This window comes from Homo sapiens, chromosome 20, assembly GCF_000001405.40.
Source record: "Homo sapiens chromosome 20, GRCh38.p14 Primary Assembly".
Taxonomy (NCBI): Eukaryota; Metazoa; Chordata; class Mammalia; order Primates; family Hominidae; genus Homo; species Homo sapiens.
Genome location: NC_000020.11, coordinates 32,163,679 through 32,182,557, shown reverse-complemented (window position 1 = coordinate 32,182,557; position 18,879 = coordinate 32,163,679). Strand labels below are relative to the sequence as shown.

Genomic DNA, 18,879 nt, shown 5'->3' with positions numbered 1-18,879 from the left:
TACACATGCTCCAAGCGTGGAGGAAGGAGGCCAGGGTACAGAGGGGGCTTCCTGCTCTGGCGTGGAGAGCAAACACAAGCCTTGGATCCCAGGGTTCTGCTCCCCTCTGTCTCAGGTGCCTGCCCTGTTCTGTTCTGTTGGCCCGGGAAGGAACTTTGGACAGGCTCTTTTAAATCCAAGAAAAACCTGTCCCGAAACTATGGCAATTACTTGTAATCTGCAACTGCCTTGATTACAGCTCGGGGGACTTTGATATTTTCCTCCAAGGATACCATTTCAGCACAAAAATTCAAGGAAGTCCCCAGTGCTTGCTTGCTCTTGCTCAGCAGGAGAACTAAACGTTGACTGGAGTCGGTGAACTTTGAGGCCTCCACCCACAGGCCCCACCATCAAAGCTGACTCAGGATCCTGGGGCACAGGGCTGTAGTGCATCAGGCACCCGCTGGAAGGCTGATAGGCCTGTGCAGGGCTGCTCTTGCCACTTCCCCCTACATGGCCTTAGGCATGTCTTTTCACAGCTATTGGCCCTTTTCTCATCCAAAGGAGAAAGTCAAAACTCCTTAGCAGGAGGTAAAAGTACCTTTAAGGTGCTCCCCTCCATGCACCTCCAGCCCTCCAGGTGGCTGGCTCAGTGACAATGCTTTTGCTTTTGGTGGCATCTAACTGAACCACTAAGTCTTTTTTCCTTATATGAATATTCAGAGGGGAATTGAGGCAGTGGGGCTATTTGATCCATCACCTCAATGATGCGTCCAGGCTCGGGCCTTCTCTGATCTGCCATCCTTCTTGTTAGTTCCATCCTCAGGTTGGTGCCAAGATGGTGGCAGCAGCCCCAAGTGTCCACACTGGAATATGGCAATTCCAGAGAGGGGAGACTATGTCTTACCATGGCTCCTCTTAAAATGGAGGAAGCCTTTCCCAGAAGCCACTGTAGATTTTCCTGGTCCTATACCTTACTGACTAGAACTGGGTCACATGCCCAGTCTTGAATTAGTTATTGGCAAGGGGGAGCAGGGTAGTGGTAGACCAAGCATTGACGCGGAATGGATGTCTGCTCATAATGTCCAGTGCCTAGAGGCAAGCTAAGACCACTGCCTCTAGGCGCTCACAGTCACACTTTGGCTTTTCTGTGAGACCTCACAGCTGGCACTTTCACCCCATGATGGCCCTCAGGGTTAGAGGGTGCTGACTTCTAGGCTAGCACAGGTCCAGTTGCAAGGGTTCTGGACCTAGAAAGTTCCTTAAGTTGAGCCAAGTCACTGCCAAACTAAGATTCCTAGGAGGCAGGCCCTTTAGACTCTCCTTTGGTGAGTGAGGAGAGATTGAGCATCAATTGTGTGAGTGTCTCTTTCACTTCAAAGAACTTGGCTGGGTGTGGTGGCTCACACCTGTAATCCCAGCACTTTGGGAGGCCAAGGTGGGCACATCACTTGAGTCTAGGAGTTCGAGACCAGCCTGGGCAACATTGTGAAACCCTGTCTCTACAAAAAACATATAAAAATTAGCTGAGTGGGGCCAGGTGTGGTGGCTCACGCCTGTAATCCCAGCACTTTGGGAGGCCGAGGCGGGCGGATTACAAGGTCAGGAGATCGAGACCATCCTGGCTAACATGGTGAAACCCCGTCTCTACTGAAAATACAAAAAAAAAAAAAAAAATTAGCTGGGCATGGTGGCGGGCGTCTGTAGTCCCAGCTACTCAGGAGGCTGAGGCAGGAGAATGGCGTGAACCTGGGAAGCGGAGCTTGCAGTGAGCCGAGATCGCGCCTCTGCACTCCAGCCTGGGCGACAGAGTGAGACTCCATCTCAAAAAAAAAAAAAAAAAAAATTAGCTGAGTGTGGTTGTGGGCGCCTGTAGTCCCAGCTATTCGGAGGCTGAGGTGGGAAGATTGCTTGAACCTGGGAGGTGGAGGTTGAAGTGAGCTGAGATTGTGCCACTGCACTCTGACCTGGGCAACAGAGCAAGACCCTGTCTCAAAACAAAACAAAACAAAAAATCACTCATACAGTGCTTCGCAGAGGCCCTGTGATCTTACAGGTAAAAAAAGGCGGTGCAGACCGGGCGCAGTGGCCACACCTGTAATCCCAGCACTTTGGGAGGCCAAGGTGGGAGGATCACCTGAAGTCAGGAGTTTGAGACCAGCCTGGCCAACTTGGCGAAACCCTGTCTTTACTAAAAATACAAAAAAAAATTAGCTGGGCGTGGTGGCAGGCGCCTGTAATCCCAGCTACTTGTGAGGCTGAAGCAGGAGAATCGCTTGAACCCAGAAGGTGGAGGTTGCAGTGAGCTGAGATGATGCCATTGCACTCCAGCCTGGGCAACAAGAGTGAAACTCTGTCTCTAAAAATAAAAATAAAAAAAGCAGTGCAGAGACTTCTGTTTCTAGGCAAGGTGGAGTAACAGAGATCAGATATATTCGTCCGCCTGAAACAAAAGTAAAACTAGACAAAATACATGAAATAGTGGTTTTCAAGGCTCTGGGCGTTGAACAATAAAGGACAGAGATTCCAGACAGATGGGAAACAAAGGTGAGCCCTGTGATTGCCCCCAGCCTTGAGAGAGTTTTCAGGCTGCAACACAGGGAGGGGGAATTAAAGTGGAGCCAGGGAACACCATGAGTTGAGGAGATGGCACTAAATGTCAGGGCAAGGTAACCAAAGTGTGTAGGACAGAAGTGTGTAGGACAGAGTGCCAGAGAGGAGACAGCTGCCTAGAGAGAGACCCCTGGAGAGCTGTGGAGGCATCCCTGAAACCCAGAAGGATACTGATGAGCACATGTGTGAGAGGGAAGGACCCCAGGCCAAGGAAAGGCCCATCAGGAAGGATTTAGGGAACAGTGCCCGCTGCTCACTGGGTGGGGACTGTGTCTGTTCCCACCAGCCATGCTGAGTGTCATGGGGTGTTGAGAGGACTCAGGGAGGCCTTGCCTCACTAAGGGCAAATAATTAGCTTTTGAATGAGCACTGGTTGGATTTGCCTAAAAAAAATCTTGTGTGAGCAAGACCCAAAAGGATTAAACCGTTTCCAAGTAACTCAAATGTCCCAGAAGAAAGCTCAAGAGGATTTACAGATTACAAATATATCCAGCACCCAACAAGGTGAAACTCACAATGTCTGGCACCCAATCAAAGAGTATCAGTTCTACAAAGTAGCAGGCAATGCAATCCATAATGAGGGAAATAAGCAAGCATAACCCACAACTGAAACCGATGTTAAAACGGGCAGGTAAGTACAAGTTACTCTAATTTTATTCCACATGTTCAACAAATTAAATAGACCCTCATATATATGGTTAAAAGATTTTTGACAGGAGTGCCAAAACCATTCAATGGAAAAAGGACAGTCTTTTTAACAAATGGTGTTGGGAGAACTGAATATCCACATGCAAAAGAATGAATTTGGACCACATACCACATACAAACATGAACTCAAAATGGATCAAAGACCTAAGTGTAAGGGCTAAAACTATAATATTCTTAGAAGACATAGGAGAAAAGTTTCATAACAGTGGGTTTGGTGATGATCTTTTGGATATGACACCAACAGCACAGGCAACAGAAGAAAAAAATAGATAAATTGGAATTCATCAAAATTAAACTTTTGGCTAGGCTTGGTGGCCCATGTCTATAGTTTCAACTACTTGGGAGGCTGAAGTGGGAGGTTCGCTTGAGCTCGGGAGTTTGAGGCTGCAGTGTGCAATCACTGCATCTGTGAACAGCCACTGTACTCCAGTCTGGGCAACATAGCAAGACTCTGTCTCTAAATACATTAATTAAACTTTTGTTCAAAATAGGACACTATCAAGAGAGTAAAAAGGCAACCCACAAAATGGGAGAAAATATTTGCAAATCAGATACCTGATATGGGTTTAATATACACAGTATACAAATAGCTTCTATAGTGCAACAAGAAAACAACTTGATTAAAAGAACTTGATTAGACATTTATTCAAAGAAGATATACAAACAGTCAATAAGCATACGAAAAGATGCTCAACATCACTAATAAGTAGATAAATGCAAATCAAAATCACAGTGAGATACCACTTCATCTACACTAGGATAGGTATTATTAAAAAAAACAAAACAGAAAATAAGTATTGGCAAGGCCTTGGAGAAATCGGAGTCTTTGTGCATTGCTGATGGGAGTATAAAATGGCACAGCCACTGTAGAAAACAATATGGCAGTTCCTCAAAAAATTAAAGAATCACCATATGATTCAACAATTCTACACCTGGGTATGTACCCAGAAGAACTGAAATCAGGGGCTGAAATAGATATTTTTATACCAGTGCAGCATTATTCACAATAGCAAAAAGGTGAAAGCAACCCAAATGTCCATTGATGGATGAATAAACAAAATATGACAGACTATAATATAGCCTTACAAAAGGAGTTTGTTTTTTTTTTTTTAATTGAGATGGAGTCTTGCTCTGTCCTCTGTCGGCCAGGCTGGAGTGCAGTGGCTCGATCTTGGCTCACTGCAACCTCTGCTTCCTGGGTTCAAGTGATTCTTGTGCCTCAGCCTCCCGAGTAGCTGGGATTACAGGCACATGCCACCACACCTGGCTAATTTTTGTATTTTTGGTTGAGACCGGGTGGTCTCCGCCACGTTGGCCAGGCTGGTTTCGAACCCCTGACCTCAGGTGATCCAGCTGCCTTGGCCTCCAGAATGCTGGGATTACAGGTGTGAGCCACCATGCCTGGCTGGAGTGAGATTCTGACACAGCTACAACATGGGTCAACCTGGAAGACGTTATGTTAAGTATAATAAGGCAGGCAAAAAGGGCAAATATTGTAGGATTCCACTTATATGAGGCACTTAGAGTAGTGAAATTCAGAGACAAAAAGTAGAATGGTGGTTACCAGGGGTTGGGGGAGCGGAGAATGGAGAGTTAATGTGTAATGAGTATACAGTTTCACTTTTTTTTTGTTTGTTTTGTTTTGTTTTTTTTTTTTTCCCCAAGGCAGAAGAATTTTTCTTAGTGCAGAACAAAATGAAAAGTCTCCCATGTCTACTTCTTTCTACACAGACACGGCAACCATCCGATTTCTCAATCTTTTCCCCACCTTTCCCGCCTTTCTATTCCACAAAGCCGCCATTGTCATCCTGGCCCGTTCTCAATGAGCTGTTGGGCACACCTCCCAGACGGGGTGGTGGCCGGGCAGAGGGGCTCCTCACTTCCCAGTAGGGGCGGCCGGGCAGAGGCGCCCCTCACCTCCCGGACGGGGCGGCTGGCCGGGCGGGGGGCTGACCCCCCCACCTCCCTCCCAGACCCGGCGGCTGGCCGGGCAGAGGGGCTCCTCACTTCCCAGTAGGGGCGGCCGGGCAGAGGCGCCCCTCACCTCCCAGACGGGGCGGCTGGCCGGGCGGAGGGCTGACCCCCCCACCTCCCTCCCGGACGGGGCGGCTGGCCGGGCGGGGGGCTGACCCCCCCACCTCCCTCCCGGACCGGGCGGCTGGCCGGGCAGAGGGGCTCCTCACTTCCCAGTAGGGGCGGCCGGGCAGAGGCGCCCCTCACCTCCCGGACGGGGCGGCTGGCCGGGCAGGGGGCTGACCCCCCCACCTCCCTCCCGGACGGGGCGGCTGGCCGGGCGGGGGGCTGACCCCCCCACCTCCCTCCCGGACCGGGCGGCTGGCCGGGCAGAGGGGCTCCTCACTTCCCAGTAGGGGCGGCCGGGCAGAGGCACCCCTCACCTCCCAGACGGGGCGGCTGGCCGGGCGGAGGGCTGACCCCCCCACCTCCCTCCCGGACGGGGCGGCTGGCCGGGCGGGGGGCTGACCCCCCCACCTCCCTCCCGGACCGGGCGGCTGGCCGGGCAGAGGGGCTCCTCACTTCCCAGTAGGGGCGGCCGGGCAGAGGCGCCCCTCACCTCCCAGACGGGGCGGCTGGCCGGGCGGAGGGCTGACCCCCCCACCTCCCTCCCGGACAGGGCGGCTGGCCGGGCGGGGGGCTGACCCCCCCACCTCCCTCCCAGACCCGGCGGCTGGCCGGGCAGAGGGGCTCCTCACTTCCCAGTAGGGGCGGCCGGGCAGAGGTGCCCCTCACCTCCCAGACGGGGCGGCTGGCCGGGCGGAGGGCTGACCCCCCCACCTCCCTCCCGGACGGGGCGGCTGGCCGGGTGGGGGGGCTGACCCCCCCATCTCCCTCCCGGACGGGGTGGCTGGCCAGGCTGAGGGGTTCCTCACTTCCCAGTAGGGGCGGCCGGGCAGAGGCGCCCCTCACCTCCCGGACGGGGCGGCTGGCCGGGCAGGGGGCTGACCCCCCCACCTCCCTCCCGGACGGCACGGCTGGCCGGGCGGGGGGCTGGCCCCCCCACCTCCCTCCCGGATGGGGCGGCTGCCGGGCGGAGACGCTCCTCACTTCCCAGATGGGGTGGCTGCCGGGCGGAGAGGCTCCTCACTTCTCAGACGGGGCAGCTGCCGGGCGGAGGGGCTCCTCACTTCTCATACGGGGTGGTTGCCAGGCAGAGGGTCTCCTCACTTCTCAGACAGGGCGGCCGGGCAGAGATGCTCCTCACCTCCCAGATGGGGTCTCGGCCGGGCAGAGGCGCTCCTCACAACCCAGATGGGGCGGCGGGGCAGAGGCGCTCCCCACATCTCAGACGATGGGCAGCCGGGCAGAGACGCTCCTCACTTCCTAGATGTGATGGCGGCTGGGAAGAGGCGCTCCTCACTTCCTAGATGGGATGGCGGCCGGGCGCAGACGCTCCTCACTTTCCAGACTGGGCAGCCAGGCAGAGGGGCTCCTCACATCCCAGACGATGGGCGGCCAGGCAGAGACACTCCTCACTTCCCAGACGGGGTGGCGGCCGGGCAGAGGCTGCAATCTCGGCACTTTGGGAGGCCAAGGCAGGCGGCTGGGAGGTGTAGGTTGTAGTGAGCCGAGATCACGCCACTGCACTCCAGCCTGGGCACCATTGAGCACTGAGTGAACGAGACTCCGTCTGCAATCCCGGCACCTCGGGAGGCCAAGGCTGGCGGATCACTCGCGGTTAGGGGCTGGAGACCGGCCCGGCCAACACAGCGAAACCCCGTCTCCACCAAAACCAGTCAGGCGTGGCGGCGCGTGCCTGCAATCGCAGGCACTCGGCAGGCTGAGGCAGGAGAATCAGGCAGGGAGGTTGCAGTGAGCCGAGATGGCAGCAGTACAGTCCAGCTTCGGCTCCGCATGAGAGGGAGACCGTGGGGAGAGGGAGAGGGAGGGGGAGGGGGAGGGGGAGGGGGAGGGGGAGGGGGAGAGGGCTTTTTTTTTTTTTTTTTTAAGACAGTCTTGCTTTGTTGCCCAGGCTGGAGTGCAGTGGTGTGATCTCGGCTCACTTGCAACCTCCACCTCCCAGGGGTTCAAGCAATTCTCCTGCCTCAGCCTCCCGAGGAGCTGGGATTATAGGCACGTGCCACAACACCCAGCTAATTTTTGTATTTTTAGTAGAGATGGGGTTTCACCATGTTTGCCAGGCTGGTCTCAAACCCCTGACCTCAGCTGACCTGCCTGCCTTGGCCTCCTGAAGTGCTGGGATTACAGGTGTGAGCCACCACGCCCAGCCCAGTTTCAATTTGAGATGATGAAAATATTCTGTAGATAGATAGTGGTGATGGTTGCACAACATTGAGACTGTACCTGATGCCACTGAATTGTATACTTACAAATATTAAAACAGTTAATTTTATGTTGTGTATTTTACCATAATAAAATAGAGACATGAACAATATGAAAAAAGATCCAAATGAAATACGTAGACATTAAAAAAAAAGACAATGTCTGAGATGAAAAATACACTGGAGGCCGGGTGCGGTGGCTCACGCCTGTAATCCCAGCACTTTGGGAGGCTGAGGTGGACGGATCACCTGAGGTCAGGAGTTCGAGACCAGCCTGGTCAACATGGTGAAACCACACCTCTACTAAAAATACAAAAATTAGCCAGGTGTGGTGGCACGTGCCTGTAGTCCCAGCTATTACGGAGGCTGAGGCAGGAGAATCACTTGAACCCGGGAGGCAGGGGTTGCAGTGAACTGAGATTGCAACACTGCACTCCAGCCTGGGCAACAGTGAGACTCTGTCTCAAAAAAAAAAAAAAAAATTAAGTGGTCTAAACATACCAATTAAAAAGCAGAGATTGTATGATTGGAAAAAAGAAAGAAAGACCAAACTATATGCTGCCTATAAGAAACACATTTTAACTATACAAATGGAAATAGGTTAAAAGTAAAAGGATGGAAAAGATATACCACACTAACAGTAAGAAGCAAGTGGGATTGGCTATATCAATATGTGACAAAATAGATAAATTACATAAATTACTAGGGATAAATTAATCCAAAAGATAGTATGTACCTAACAAAATACCTATAGCAAAAAATAGAACTGCAAAGAGAAATATAAAAATCTATAATTACCGCCAGAGATTTTAGTACCCCTTTCTCAATCATTGATAGAATAAGCAGGCAGAAAATCAGTAAAGATATCATATACTTGAACACCATTATCAATCAACTTGACCTGACTGATATTTATAGAACCCTGTACCCAAGAACACAGAATACCATTCTTTTCAATTGTGCGTGAACCTTTATCAAGATAGACCATATTTTGAGCCATAAAACAAGTCTTAATAAAGTCAAAAGGACCCAAGTCATACAAAGTCTCTGTCCACAATAGAATTAGAAATTAGACATAAGTAACCTAAGGATCCTTGAAAAAAATCCCCCAATATTTGGGAACTAAATAACACACTTCTAAATAACACATGACTCAAAAAAAGAAATCAAATGAAAATTAGAAAGTATTTTGAATGGAATGACAATGAAAACACAATATAGCAGAATTTCTGGGATGCCATTACAGTGAGACTTTAAAAGAAGTTTATAGCACTAAACACCTACATTAGAAAAGAAAGCCCTCAAATAAATGCCCTAGCTTCCACTTTAAAACACTAGAAAAGAGCAAATTAAAGACAGGGATGGGCTGGCTGTGGTGGCTTATGCCTGTAATCCCACACTTTGGGAGGCTGAATCAGCAGGTGGATCACCTGAGGTCAGGAGTTCGAGACCAGCATGGCCAACATGGCAAAACCCTGTCTCTACTAAAAATACAAAAATTAGCCAAGTCCAGTGGCAGGCACCTATAATCCCAGCTATTCGGGAGGCTGAGGCAGGAGAATCACTTGAACCCAGGAGGCGGAGCTTGCAGTGAGCCGAGATCACACCACTGCACTCCAGCCTGGGCGACAGAGACTCTCTCTCAAACAAACAAACAAACAAACAAACAAACAAACAAAAAAACCCAAAAAATAAAGACAGGTATGTCTACTTTCACCATTCAGGTATTGTATTGGATATTGTAGCCAGTGCAATCAGGCAAGAAACAGAAATGAAAGGCATCCAGATTGGAAAGAAAGAAGTAAAACTGTCTTTATTCACAGACAACATGATCATCTATGGAGAAAATCCAATGAGATCTAAAAAAGCTACTAGAACTAATAAGTTAGCAAGGTTTTAGGGTATAAGATCAGTATTTTAAAAATCAACTGTTATTTCTGTACAACAGTAGCAATGAAAAATCAGAAATACAAACATACCATTTACAGGCCAGGCACAGCGACTCACACCTGTAATCCCAGCACTTTTGGAAGTTGAGGCAGGCAGAACACTTGAGGTCAGGAGTTTGAGACCAGCCTGGCTAACATGGAGAAATCTAATCTCTACTGAAAAATGTAAAAATTAGCCGGGTGTGGTGGCATGCACCTGTGGTCCCAGCTGCTTGGGAGGCTGAGGCACAAGAATTGCTTGAACCCAGGAGGCAGAGGTTGCAGTGAGCCAAGATCCCGCCACTGCACCCCAGACTGGGTGACAGAGCAAGACTCCATCTCTAAATAAATAAATAAAAATTTAAAAACATACCATTTACACCAGGCGTAGTGGCTCATGCCTGTAATCCCAGCACTTTGGGAGGCCGAGGCAGGCAGATCACCTGAGGTTGGAGTTCAAGACCAGCCTGACCAACATGGAGAAACCACGTCTCTACTAAAAATACAAAATTAGCCGGGCGTGGTGGCACATGCCTGTAATCCCAGCTGAGGCAGGAGAATCGCTTGAACCCAGGAGGCGGAGGTTGCAGTGAGCCGAGATCACACCATTGCACTCCAGCCTGGGCAGCAAGAGCAAAACTCTGTCTCAAAAAATAAAAATAAAAAACTACCATTTACAATAGCATCAAAAATATGAAACACTGAGGAATAAATCTGACAAAAGAAGTGGAAGACCTAGATGCTGAAGATACAAAACACTGCTGAGAGAAATTAAAGATGACCTAAATTGAGAGGTATAATTTGTTCATGGGTTGGAAGACTTAATATTGTTAAGATATCAACTCCACAGCTGGGCACAGAGGCTCATGCCTGTAATTCCAGCAATTTGGGAGGCCAAGGCAGGAGGACTGCTTGAGCCCCGAAGTTTGAGGCCAGCCTAGGCAACATAGGAAGACCTGTCTTGACAAAAAATAACTAGCTGGGCATGGCAGTGCATGCCTATAGTCCCAGCTACCTGGGAGGCTGAGGGGAGAGGACTATTTGAGCCCAGGAGGTCAAGGCAGCAGTGAGCTGTGATTATGCCACTGCCACTGCGCTCCAGCCTGAGTGACAGAGTGAGATCCTGTCTCAAATAAATAAATAAAAATAAAATAAAGAGAGACATTCGAGCCAGGTGCATTTTGGCTCAAGCCTATAATCCCAGCTACTTGGGAGGCTGAGCAAAAGGATTGCTTGAGCCCAGGGATTTGAGATCAGCCCGGGCAACAAGGTGAGACACTGTCTCTACAAAAATAGAAAAAAAAAAATTCGCCAGGCGTGGTGGTGCACACCTGTGGTTCCAGCTATTTGGGAGGCTGAGGTGGGAGGATCACTTGATGCTTGATCATGATTGCAGTGAGCTATCATCATGCCACTGTGCTCCAGCCTGTGTCACAGAGCAAGACTCTGCCACAACAAAAAAGAAAAAAAGAAAACCCAGGAGAAATTCACTGTGACCTTGAGTTAAGCAAAGATGTCTAACACCAAAAAGCAAAATCCATGAAAGGAGCTGGGCACGGTGACATGTGTCTGTAATCCCAGCTACCTAGGAGGCTGAGGCCAGAGGATCGCTTGAGGCCAGGAGTTTGAGACTAGCCTGGGTAACATAGTGAAACCCCTGTTTCAAAAATCAAACAAACCAAAAATTCAAAAAAGAACAAATTAAATTGCTTAAACAAATTATTTGTTTATAAATTAGACTTCATCAAAATAAAAAACCTGTGCTCTTCAAAAGACATAGTTTTCAATGAAAACACAAGCCATACACAGACTAAGAAAATCTTTGCAAAGCATTTACCGATAAAGGACTTGTCTGCAGAATACATAAATAACTCTCAAAACTTGACAATAACTCCAAACCCAATACAAATGAACATAAATTTGAACATCTACTTCACCAAAGAAGATACATTTGTCACCAACAATAACAAATAAGCACATGAAAAGATGTGCAACATGTCATTAGGGAAATAGAAATTAAAATCACAAGATGTTATATACCTGTAAGAATGGCTAAAATTAAAAATATTAACCATACCAAGTGTTATTAGGATGTAAAGGAACTGGCACTCTTGTATACTGCTGATGGTAACATAAAATGATACACCACCTTAGAAAAGAGTGTGGCAGTTTAGGTTAAACATACACCTGACTTCCTCTCAAGCCTGGCGTTTGGTCGGTGGGGACCCACGTGGGTTCAACATGTGTCTCAAGAGTGTTATTTCTGTTCGGGGCCCATCTACCCTGGCCATGGCATGATGTCTGTCCGCAATGATTGCAAGGTGTTCAGATTTTGTAAATCTAAATGTCATAAAAACTTTAAAAAGAAGCACAATCCTCACAAAGGTAGGTGGACCAAAGCATTCTGGAAAACAGCTGGTAAAGGGCTTACAGTGGATAATTCATTTGAATTGGAAAAACATAGAAATGCACTTATCAAATATCAGTGAGAGCTATGGAATAAAACTATTGATGCAATGAAGAGAGTTGAAGAGATCAAACAGAAATGCCAAGCTAAATTTATAATGAACAGACTGAAGAAACATAAAGGGCTACGTAGAGAAGTTCAGGATATCAAAGAAGTCAAGAAAAACATCCATCTTTCCGAGCCCCTCTTGTAGGCAAAGGGAAGCAGCTGGAAGAGAAAATGGCACAGAGATTACAACAGGATGTGGACATGGAAGATGCTTCTTAAAAATCTGTAACCATTTCTTTACATACATTTGAAAATGTCCCTTGGAGACGTGGAACTGCTAAACTATTGGTTAATGTTTTACATAAGGTCACTTAAATGAAAAGTGATTAAAATATATCTTTCCTACATTGCTATCTACTTTAAAACATCAGATATTACAGATGTTAGATTGTATCTCAGTGTTAAATCCTCACTGATAGATGTACATATGTAAATCATGAAAATTCTACTTATAACTATAGAAGTGAATGGTGGACATAAAATGGTTATGCCATTTGGCTAATGGCATTAGGCAGCATTTGTATAATAACTAATGGCAAAAATTCATGGCTAGTGATGTATAAAATAAAATATTCTTTGCAGTAAGATATTCCCTTTATTAATGTTATAGAAGGGGGAATACAGCAAGGAACTAACAATTTGTATGACAGCATCAAGTATTATTTTGATTTTAGTATTTCCTGTTTTGGTTTATTTGCATCTTAGAAGAACATAATGGCATTGTTTGATGAAGCCTAATTATGCCGGACTGTTTTGACCTGGTTTAACCCTTCTGATAGGGAGTTGTGAATGTTGGGTATGAGGACTGAATGAATAATCTTTGCCTGGAATGACCTTACACTCTGTAATTTCCACTTTGGAGAATACTCAGTTCTAACTTGTGATTCCTGGTAGAACAAACTTTATTTTTCTAGCCTAGCAATGTATACATACATAGCGTAATATGTAGCGTATGATTCTCCTTATATAAAGCTCTGGGAGATGCAAATTAATCTATAGCGACAGAAAGAAAGATCAGTGGCTTATTGGGGATGGTGTCTTAGTCTGTTTTGTGTTGCTATAAGGAATACCTGAGGCTGGGTAATTTATAAAGAAAAAAAGGTTTACTTGGCTCATGAATTTTTTTTTTTTTTTCTTTTCAGAGTCTTGCTCTGTTGGCTAGGCTGGAGTGCAGTGGTACAATCTTGGCTTACTGCAACCTCCATCTCCTGGGCTCAGCCTCCTGAGTAGCTAGGATTACATGCGTGGGCCACCACGCCTGGCTAATTTTTGTATTTTTAGTAGAGACAGGGTTTTACAATGTTGTACAGGCTGGTCTCGAACTCCTGACCTCAGGTAATCTGCCCGCCTCGGCCTCCCAAAATGCTGGGATTACAGGCATGAGCCACCGCACCCGGCCAGCTCACGAGTTTTTAACAAATTTTTAAAATTTGTTTTTAGAGATGAGGTCTTGCTTTGTTGCCCAGGCTGACTTTCTCCTGGCCTCAAGTGATCCTCCTGTTTCAGCCTCCCAGAGTGTTGGGCTTACAGGCCTGAGCCACCGTGCCCAGTCTGGCTCATGATTCTGACAGCTGGAAAGTTCAAGATTGGGCATTTGCTTCTGGTGAGTTCCTTCTGCTCATGGTGGAAGGTGGAGAGCTGGCATGTGCAGAGATTACATGGGGAGAGAAGTGGGGGTTGCAGGGAGGTGCCAGGCTCTTTTTAACAACCAGCTTTCTTAGGAGCTAAGAGAGAACTCACTCACCTCCTCTGCTCCCACCTCCCCCAGTGCACTAATCTATTCATGAGGAATCTGCTCCCATGACCCAAACACTTCCCATTAGGCTCCACCTCCAACACTGGGGATCAAATTTCCACATGAGGTTTGGAGGGGACAAGCATGATGTTGAGAGGCTAGAGGGCAGGATTATAAAGAAAGGCATGAGGAAACCTGGGTATGCTCACAATTGAGATTGTGGTGATAATTTCATGGGTGTGTGTATCAAGACTTATCAAACTGCAGTTCATTTTACATCAATTACATATAATTTTACACACACACACACACACACAGCCCTTTAAAAAGGCGGCTAGAGAGGTTGGAAGGACAGATTCAGAAGTCTGGCTGTCCCAGGTGAACACTACTCCACCCATCATGGGACATCACCCCCCATCCTGCCCCAGCAGGTTACCTCAACTGCTTGGTGCCTCAGTGACCACCTCTGTAAAAGGGGGCTAATAACAGAAGCTGTCTCAGGGGCACGTTGTTATCTTGTATCATATCCAAGATTAAATGGGCTAACCCATGGAAAGTGTTTGGAACATCAGAACACAGGAAGTACTCCATAAATAGTAACAAGCACCTTTCCCATTGCAGATGAGGAACTGAGGCTTGGGGTTGGGGTGGCGGGGTGGTGGGTAACAGGCCACTGTTTTGGTCTGTTTCGCATCCCTTACCATGGGAAATGGTTCTTTCCTCATCAACCATTCTAAGTAATTCTGGTAGGGCTGAAATTCACAGTATCCAACACCTTCAGGGAAAGTGGCCCCAAATCATACTCCAACCCCCTGGATATAGTGATTGGTGCAAGATGTTCAAATAATAATCCAAGCTGGGCCAATCAGAAATGTTTCCTGAAATTCCTCTATATTGAATAAACTGAAGTGGGAAGGGACATCTTCCCCTACCCCAGCCCCCCGGCATACCCAAGTGGATCATGTAAGTCTGGAGTGATTGGCATCCTGCCCTCCCTGCCTCACCCATCAGGAGGAAGACTGTGGATAACAGGACAGAGTGACGCCGGAGAGGAGCACAGTGGAAAAGGGGAAAGAGCCCTAAGGCTATCCTTTGAGCCCCTGGATCCAGCCAGACCTGAAGCAAAATAAACAAAATCCTTGATGACTTAAGAACCAATCAATTCATTTTTGGGCTAAAACCAGTTTGACCGATGTTTCTGTTGCTTACAATTGAAGAACTGGGTTTCATAGAGTGAGATGAGCTGACAGTAAAAGACTGAAGCTGGGAATCCAAAACCAGATCTTGCTGCTACCAAAACACACTTGATTGTCATTTCCTGCTTGTGGGATCAGAAGAGCAAATGACTGCAATTTAGTATGGAGGGGCTAGGCAATGGACTTGTACCAGGCAGGGAACAACAGTGGCTTGAGCCCTGAAGTGTGACACGAGAATGAGCTTCGGGGGAAACTGTGCAACTCAACCCACTCGGGGAAGGTGTCTCACCTCAGACCTCCAACCCCTGCATGAGATTCAAGACAAAACAGTAGGACAATGGTATATTTATTTACAATCCGACCAAAAAAAGGCATACAGGCATTTTTTTAATTAAAAATAATAATGATAATGATTTAAAAAGTCAGAAAAATTGATGATCTTTGAACCCTTTATGAGGTGTCCGTTTCCCATTCCCCCTAAAAAGAGAATCTCTTAGGGAAAAAAAAAAATCCAAGATTTGAATGAACAAAAGACTCCAATATCGCTCTCTACTGCTTGGGTTCCCTTTTCTCCAACTTGATGCTTGGTGGATGCCGCTTGGCGCTGCAGTCACTGTGAGGCAAGATTGAGAAATTCACTGGTTTGATGGGTGAGGCTGGTAGAGCCACTGGGAGAATGTGGGGCAGTGAGGGGAGGGACATCTTCCTAGCATCACCAGCATCCTGAGCTTTGTCTTGTGTTGGGAGTCCCACAAGGGCTGGTGCAAGGGTTAGCAGCTGCTACTTGAACCCTAATCCCTGGGTGGATGTGGTCTCTTGTAACTTAAGAGCAAATGTTTGTGATGACATGCACGGGTGGGCAGAGGTTGAAAAGAACAGGGGTCTACGGAGGAGCCAGGCCAGCCACGTGAGACCCTTCTTTCTAAGTTGGCTTCTTGTCCATTCCTGGGGATTGGGGAAAGAACGACAGAACTTACCTTCCATCTTCCTTCTCACAAGCAGTGTTTTGGGTGTCCCCAAAAGGAGGAGGCAAGAACTCAGGTGTGGGGTGGAGGGGATGGGGCTGGCTAAAGAAGTGAGTATGACCCCAGAGGCCAGAGAGGGCAGGGAGAGAATGCCTGGCCACTTACAGGAGGGGATCTGTAATCTCTGGGCCTCCCTGTTCTGCCTGAAGTTGGGCAGGGCCCACTGCTAGCACACCTTGGAGAGCGGTACCTCCTGAGGAAAGGGCTGGGGAGTGATCCTGAGGGGTAAGGACCCTAGCGGCCTTGGCCATCCCTTCCCAGACACAGACAAGTGGATGCTTGGCTTGGGAAATACTTGGCCCCAGGTCCAGGGTTTCTTGGCACAAAAACAGTTCACTGCAAGTCTCTTCTCTTCTTCCTTGTGGTCCAGCAAACTCCGGCTGCTCTGAACAGGGGCAATTCCTGCTGTCTGGGGAACCTGGCCCCCAGTACTTCCAGGGGATTTTCTTGTAGCAACTAAGACTTGGGTTTGCTCCTGGTGAAAAGATGACCCCGAGGCCTGGCTGGAAACCCTGCCTTGGGCAGCCCTGGAGGAGGCTGGGGAGAAGAGGGAAAGAGAGGTCTGGCAGAGGCTGGCTGGCACTGAGGGTGCTGTCCGAGCTGGAGCTGTGCTTTGTCGTGGCCTCAGTGGTGAGGATGGGCAGGGAGAGGCTCGGAAACCTCACTGAAGCTCTGGCGTGTCCTCTTCCAGTTAGTCATAGGGTGGCCAACAGCCCTGAGGAACTGAGGTGGAGACAGTGACCAAAACCCTTATCTCGGTGGATTTATCCATCCTGGATCCATTTGTTAAAACAAAGAAGGAAAAAAAAATCCAAACCAGAAATACACCTGAATAAACAGGTCAGAGAGTTCCTGTTGGAGGGAACTTTCTTAGCACTGAAGAAAAAGCAACCCACAAAAAAACTCATCCCCCACAGAACTGGAATAAGATGACGAAAAACGCAAGATTATCTACAGGCCCTCCCGCCCCCCACGCAGCCCCAGGATCCAGGAACACTGTGCCAGGAGTTACATTCCAAACGAGCAGGAGTTATTTTATTTTGCGTGCCTGCAGTCCCCCACGCAGGGTGGCTTCCTGTCCGAGGACGGAGCAAGCTTGGCCGTGGTCCACTCCAATCAGTCTATCTTCACAGCAGCATAGATCTTGCGAACAAACATGTAGGCTGCATAGAAGCCGATGGTACCCGTTAGCAGCCAGAAGGACAAGACCATGAGGGCCGTGTAGCCAAAGTAGAGGAGAGAGGGGATGAACTCCACGATGTCCAGCTGCGGCCACGAGCAGAAAGAAGACAGGGTGCATGCTTAGTGCCAGGCTGCATGGCGAACTGGGGCCCCACTCTCACTGATATCATGGGGAAACTGAGGCCTGGCCAGGGGAAGGGGCGTGCTCCAGTGGGTGGCAAGCGGCAGGCAGGGTTCATGGGCACAGCTCTGCTTCATCTGGACCAGGCCTGTGTATTGCCCTAATGCTCATAGCCTCAGGGGCCAGGCCCAGAATGCCACAAAAGGAATGGCCACAGCTGTGCCCTTCCTGGTCCCCCACAGACCCCAGATCAGTATGGCAACACTCCCGCATGGCTGGAGAAGCAGTCGGAGTGGGTGGGGGAGGGGAGGGGTGTCCAGGATGCCCAGCTTCAGGACCAGGAGCCCCATCAGCCCGCCTCAGCCTCCATTCATTCCTCTCTTCCCCAGAATGCTTGTCACTTTTGTTAGCATCTCACAGAGATTTTGATCTTGGAGCATTTTGGACTCCTTTTTAACTGGGGTAGAGTTTAGAGGCTGGGCAGAGATGCTGGGGATCTGTGTTATTTACAAAGGGAACTAATGTGGAACCTTGGTATCAAGATATGCCCAGGGCCTGAGTAGGGCCTGTCCCAGGACTCACAGGCAGACACATGGTCACAGAATGCCAGTAGCCCAGAAGAAAACAGTAAAGAAACAAAGAAAACAAAATAGGTCACCATTTGAAGCCCTCTCCTAAGCCTAAGGGGTGAAGGCCATGTTTTCAGGCTCAGCCCCGCATCTCTCCCCTAACCCCTTTTCTTTAAAGGGACAGGGTCTCCCTCTATTACCCAGACTAGAGCACAGTGGCATGATCACAGCTCACTACAGCCTCACCCTCCTGGGCTCAAGGGATCCTCCTGCCTCAGCCTCCCAAGTAGCTCAGACTATAGGTGTGTGCCACCACACCCAGCTAATATTTTTTCTAGCAATGGTGTCTTGCTCTATTGCCCAGGCTGGTCTCAGACACTTGGACTTAAGTTATCCTCCCACCTCTGAAAACGCTAGGATTATAGGTGTGAACCATATGCACCCAGCCTCCATCTCTTGTTATATGCATTCTTGTGGCTGGTGGTCGGGGGAGGGGTGGGGGAGGGACAAGGAGCAGAACCGTGGTAAAAGGAGGCAAGGGACGAGGCAAAGAGGCAGAGCCAGAAAGTTCCTCATTTTATACATAAGGCATTGGGGCTGGAGGAAGAGATTTTTTGAGCAGAGCAAGAAGACTGGAGCAGAAGGGAGGAAGGACAAGAGGCTGTGATGTGATCTCTAGTTTTGTTTAACCGTGTTCCTTGTCTTCCATATTCCAGATGTTTTGAGGAACACTCAAAACACCTGGTCCTGTTGGGGCCATCAATCCTAGCACAAAATAGGCCAGGTGCGGTGGCTCACGCCTGTAATCCCAGCACTTTGGGAGGCTGAGGCAGACGGATCACATGAGGTCAGGAGTTCAAGACCAGCCTGGCCAACATGGAGAAACCCTGTCTCTGCTAAAAACACAAAATTAGCCGGGCGTGGTGGTGTGCACCTGTAACCCCAGCTACTCAGGAGGCAGAGGCAGGAGAATCGCTGGAACCCGGGAGGCAGAGGCTGCAGCGAGCCAA

General features: G+C 48.7%; 1 protein-coding gene and 1 pseudogene across 5 annotated transcripts in view, besides 6 other annotated features; one reads left to right on the top strand and one right to left on the bottom strand.

Moving 5' to 3' along the window:
• Nucleotides 1–501: an enhancer, noted in NCBI's record as "H3K27ac hESC enhancer chr20:30769860-30770360 (GRCh37/hg19 assembly coordinates)". NCBI's record gives its function as "activates a minimal SCP1, AML or CMV promoter by ChIP-STARR-seq in naive H9 embryonic stem cells {active_cell/tissue: H9 hESC(naive)}" and the evidence as "EXISTENCE:reporter gene assay evidence [ECO:0000049][PMID:30033119]".
• Nucleotides 1,922–2,102: a silencer, noted in NCBI's record as "fragment chr20:30768259-30768439 (GRCh37/hg19 assembly coordinates)". NCBI's record gives its function as "represses an EF-1alpha promoter that drives an FKBP-Casp9 reporter gene in an ReSE screen in HepG2 liver carcinoma cells {active_cell/tissue: HepG2}" and the evidence as "EXISTENCE:reporter gene assay evidence [ECO:0000049][PMID:32094911]".
• Nucleotides 6,277–6,876: an enhancer, noted in NCBI's record as "H3K27ac-H3K4me1 hESC enhancer chr20:30763485-30764084 (GRCh37/hg19 assembly coordinates)". NCBI's record gives its function as "activates a minimal SCP1, AML or CMV promoter by ChIP-STARR-seq in primed H9 embryonic stem cells {active_cell/tissue: H9 hESC(primed)}" and the evidence as "EXISTENCE:reporter gene assay evidence [ECO:0000049][PMID:30033119]".
• Nucleotides 6,877–7,478: an enhancer, noted in NCBI's record as "H3K27ac-H3K4me1 hESC enhancer chr20:30762883-30763484 (GRCh37/hg19 assembly coordinates)". NCBI's record gives its function as "activates a minimal SCP1, AML or CMV promoter by ChIP-STARR-seq in primed H9 embryonic stem cells {active_cell/tissue: H9 hESC(primed)}" and the evidence as "EXISTENCE:reporter gene assay evidence [ECO:0000049][PMID:30033119]".
• On the top strand, nucleotides 11,780–12,260 carry RSL24D1P6 (ribosomal L24 domain containing 1 pseudogene 6; annotated as a pseudogene).
• Nucleotides 13,718–14,012: an enhancer, noted in NCBI's record as "tiled region #8915; K562 Activating DNase unmatched - State 8:EnhW". NCBI's record gives its function as "activates a minimal TATA promoter and a strong SV40 promoter by Sharpr-MPRA in K562 cells {active_cell/tissue: K562}" and the evidence as "EXISTENCE:reporter gene assay evidence [ECO:0000049][PMID:27701403]".
• TM9SF4 (transmembrane 9 superfamily member 4) overlaps nucleotides 15,302–18,879 on the bottom strand; it is a 57,543-nt gene continuing 53,965 nt past the window's right edge. For all 5 annotated transcript variants that reach the window (NM_001363731.2, XM_017028155.2, NM_014742.4 and 2 more), the window contains one exon: nucleotides 15,302–17,263. In NM_001363731.2, coding sequence (NP_001350660.1) covers nucleotides 17,114–17,263 — 150 coding nt within the window. In that variant the 3' untranslated portion in view covers nucleotides 15,302–17,113. The remainder of the gene's footprint in view (nucleotides 17,264–18,879) is intronic.
• Nucleotides 16,878–17,378: an enhancer, noted in NCBI's record as "H3K4me1 hESC enhancer chr20:30752983-30753483 (GRCh37/hg19 assembly coordinates)". NCBI's record gives its function as "activates a minimal SCP1, AML or CMV promoter by ChIP-STARR-seq in naive H9 embryonic stem cells {active_cell/tissue: H9 hESC(naive)}" and the evidence as "EXISTENCE:reporter gene assay evidence [ECO:0000049][PMID:30033119]".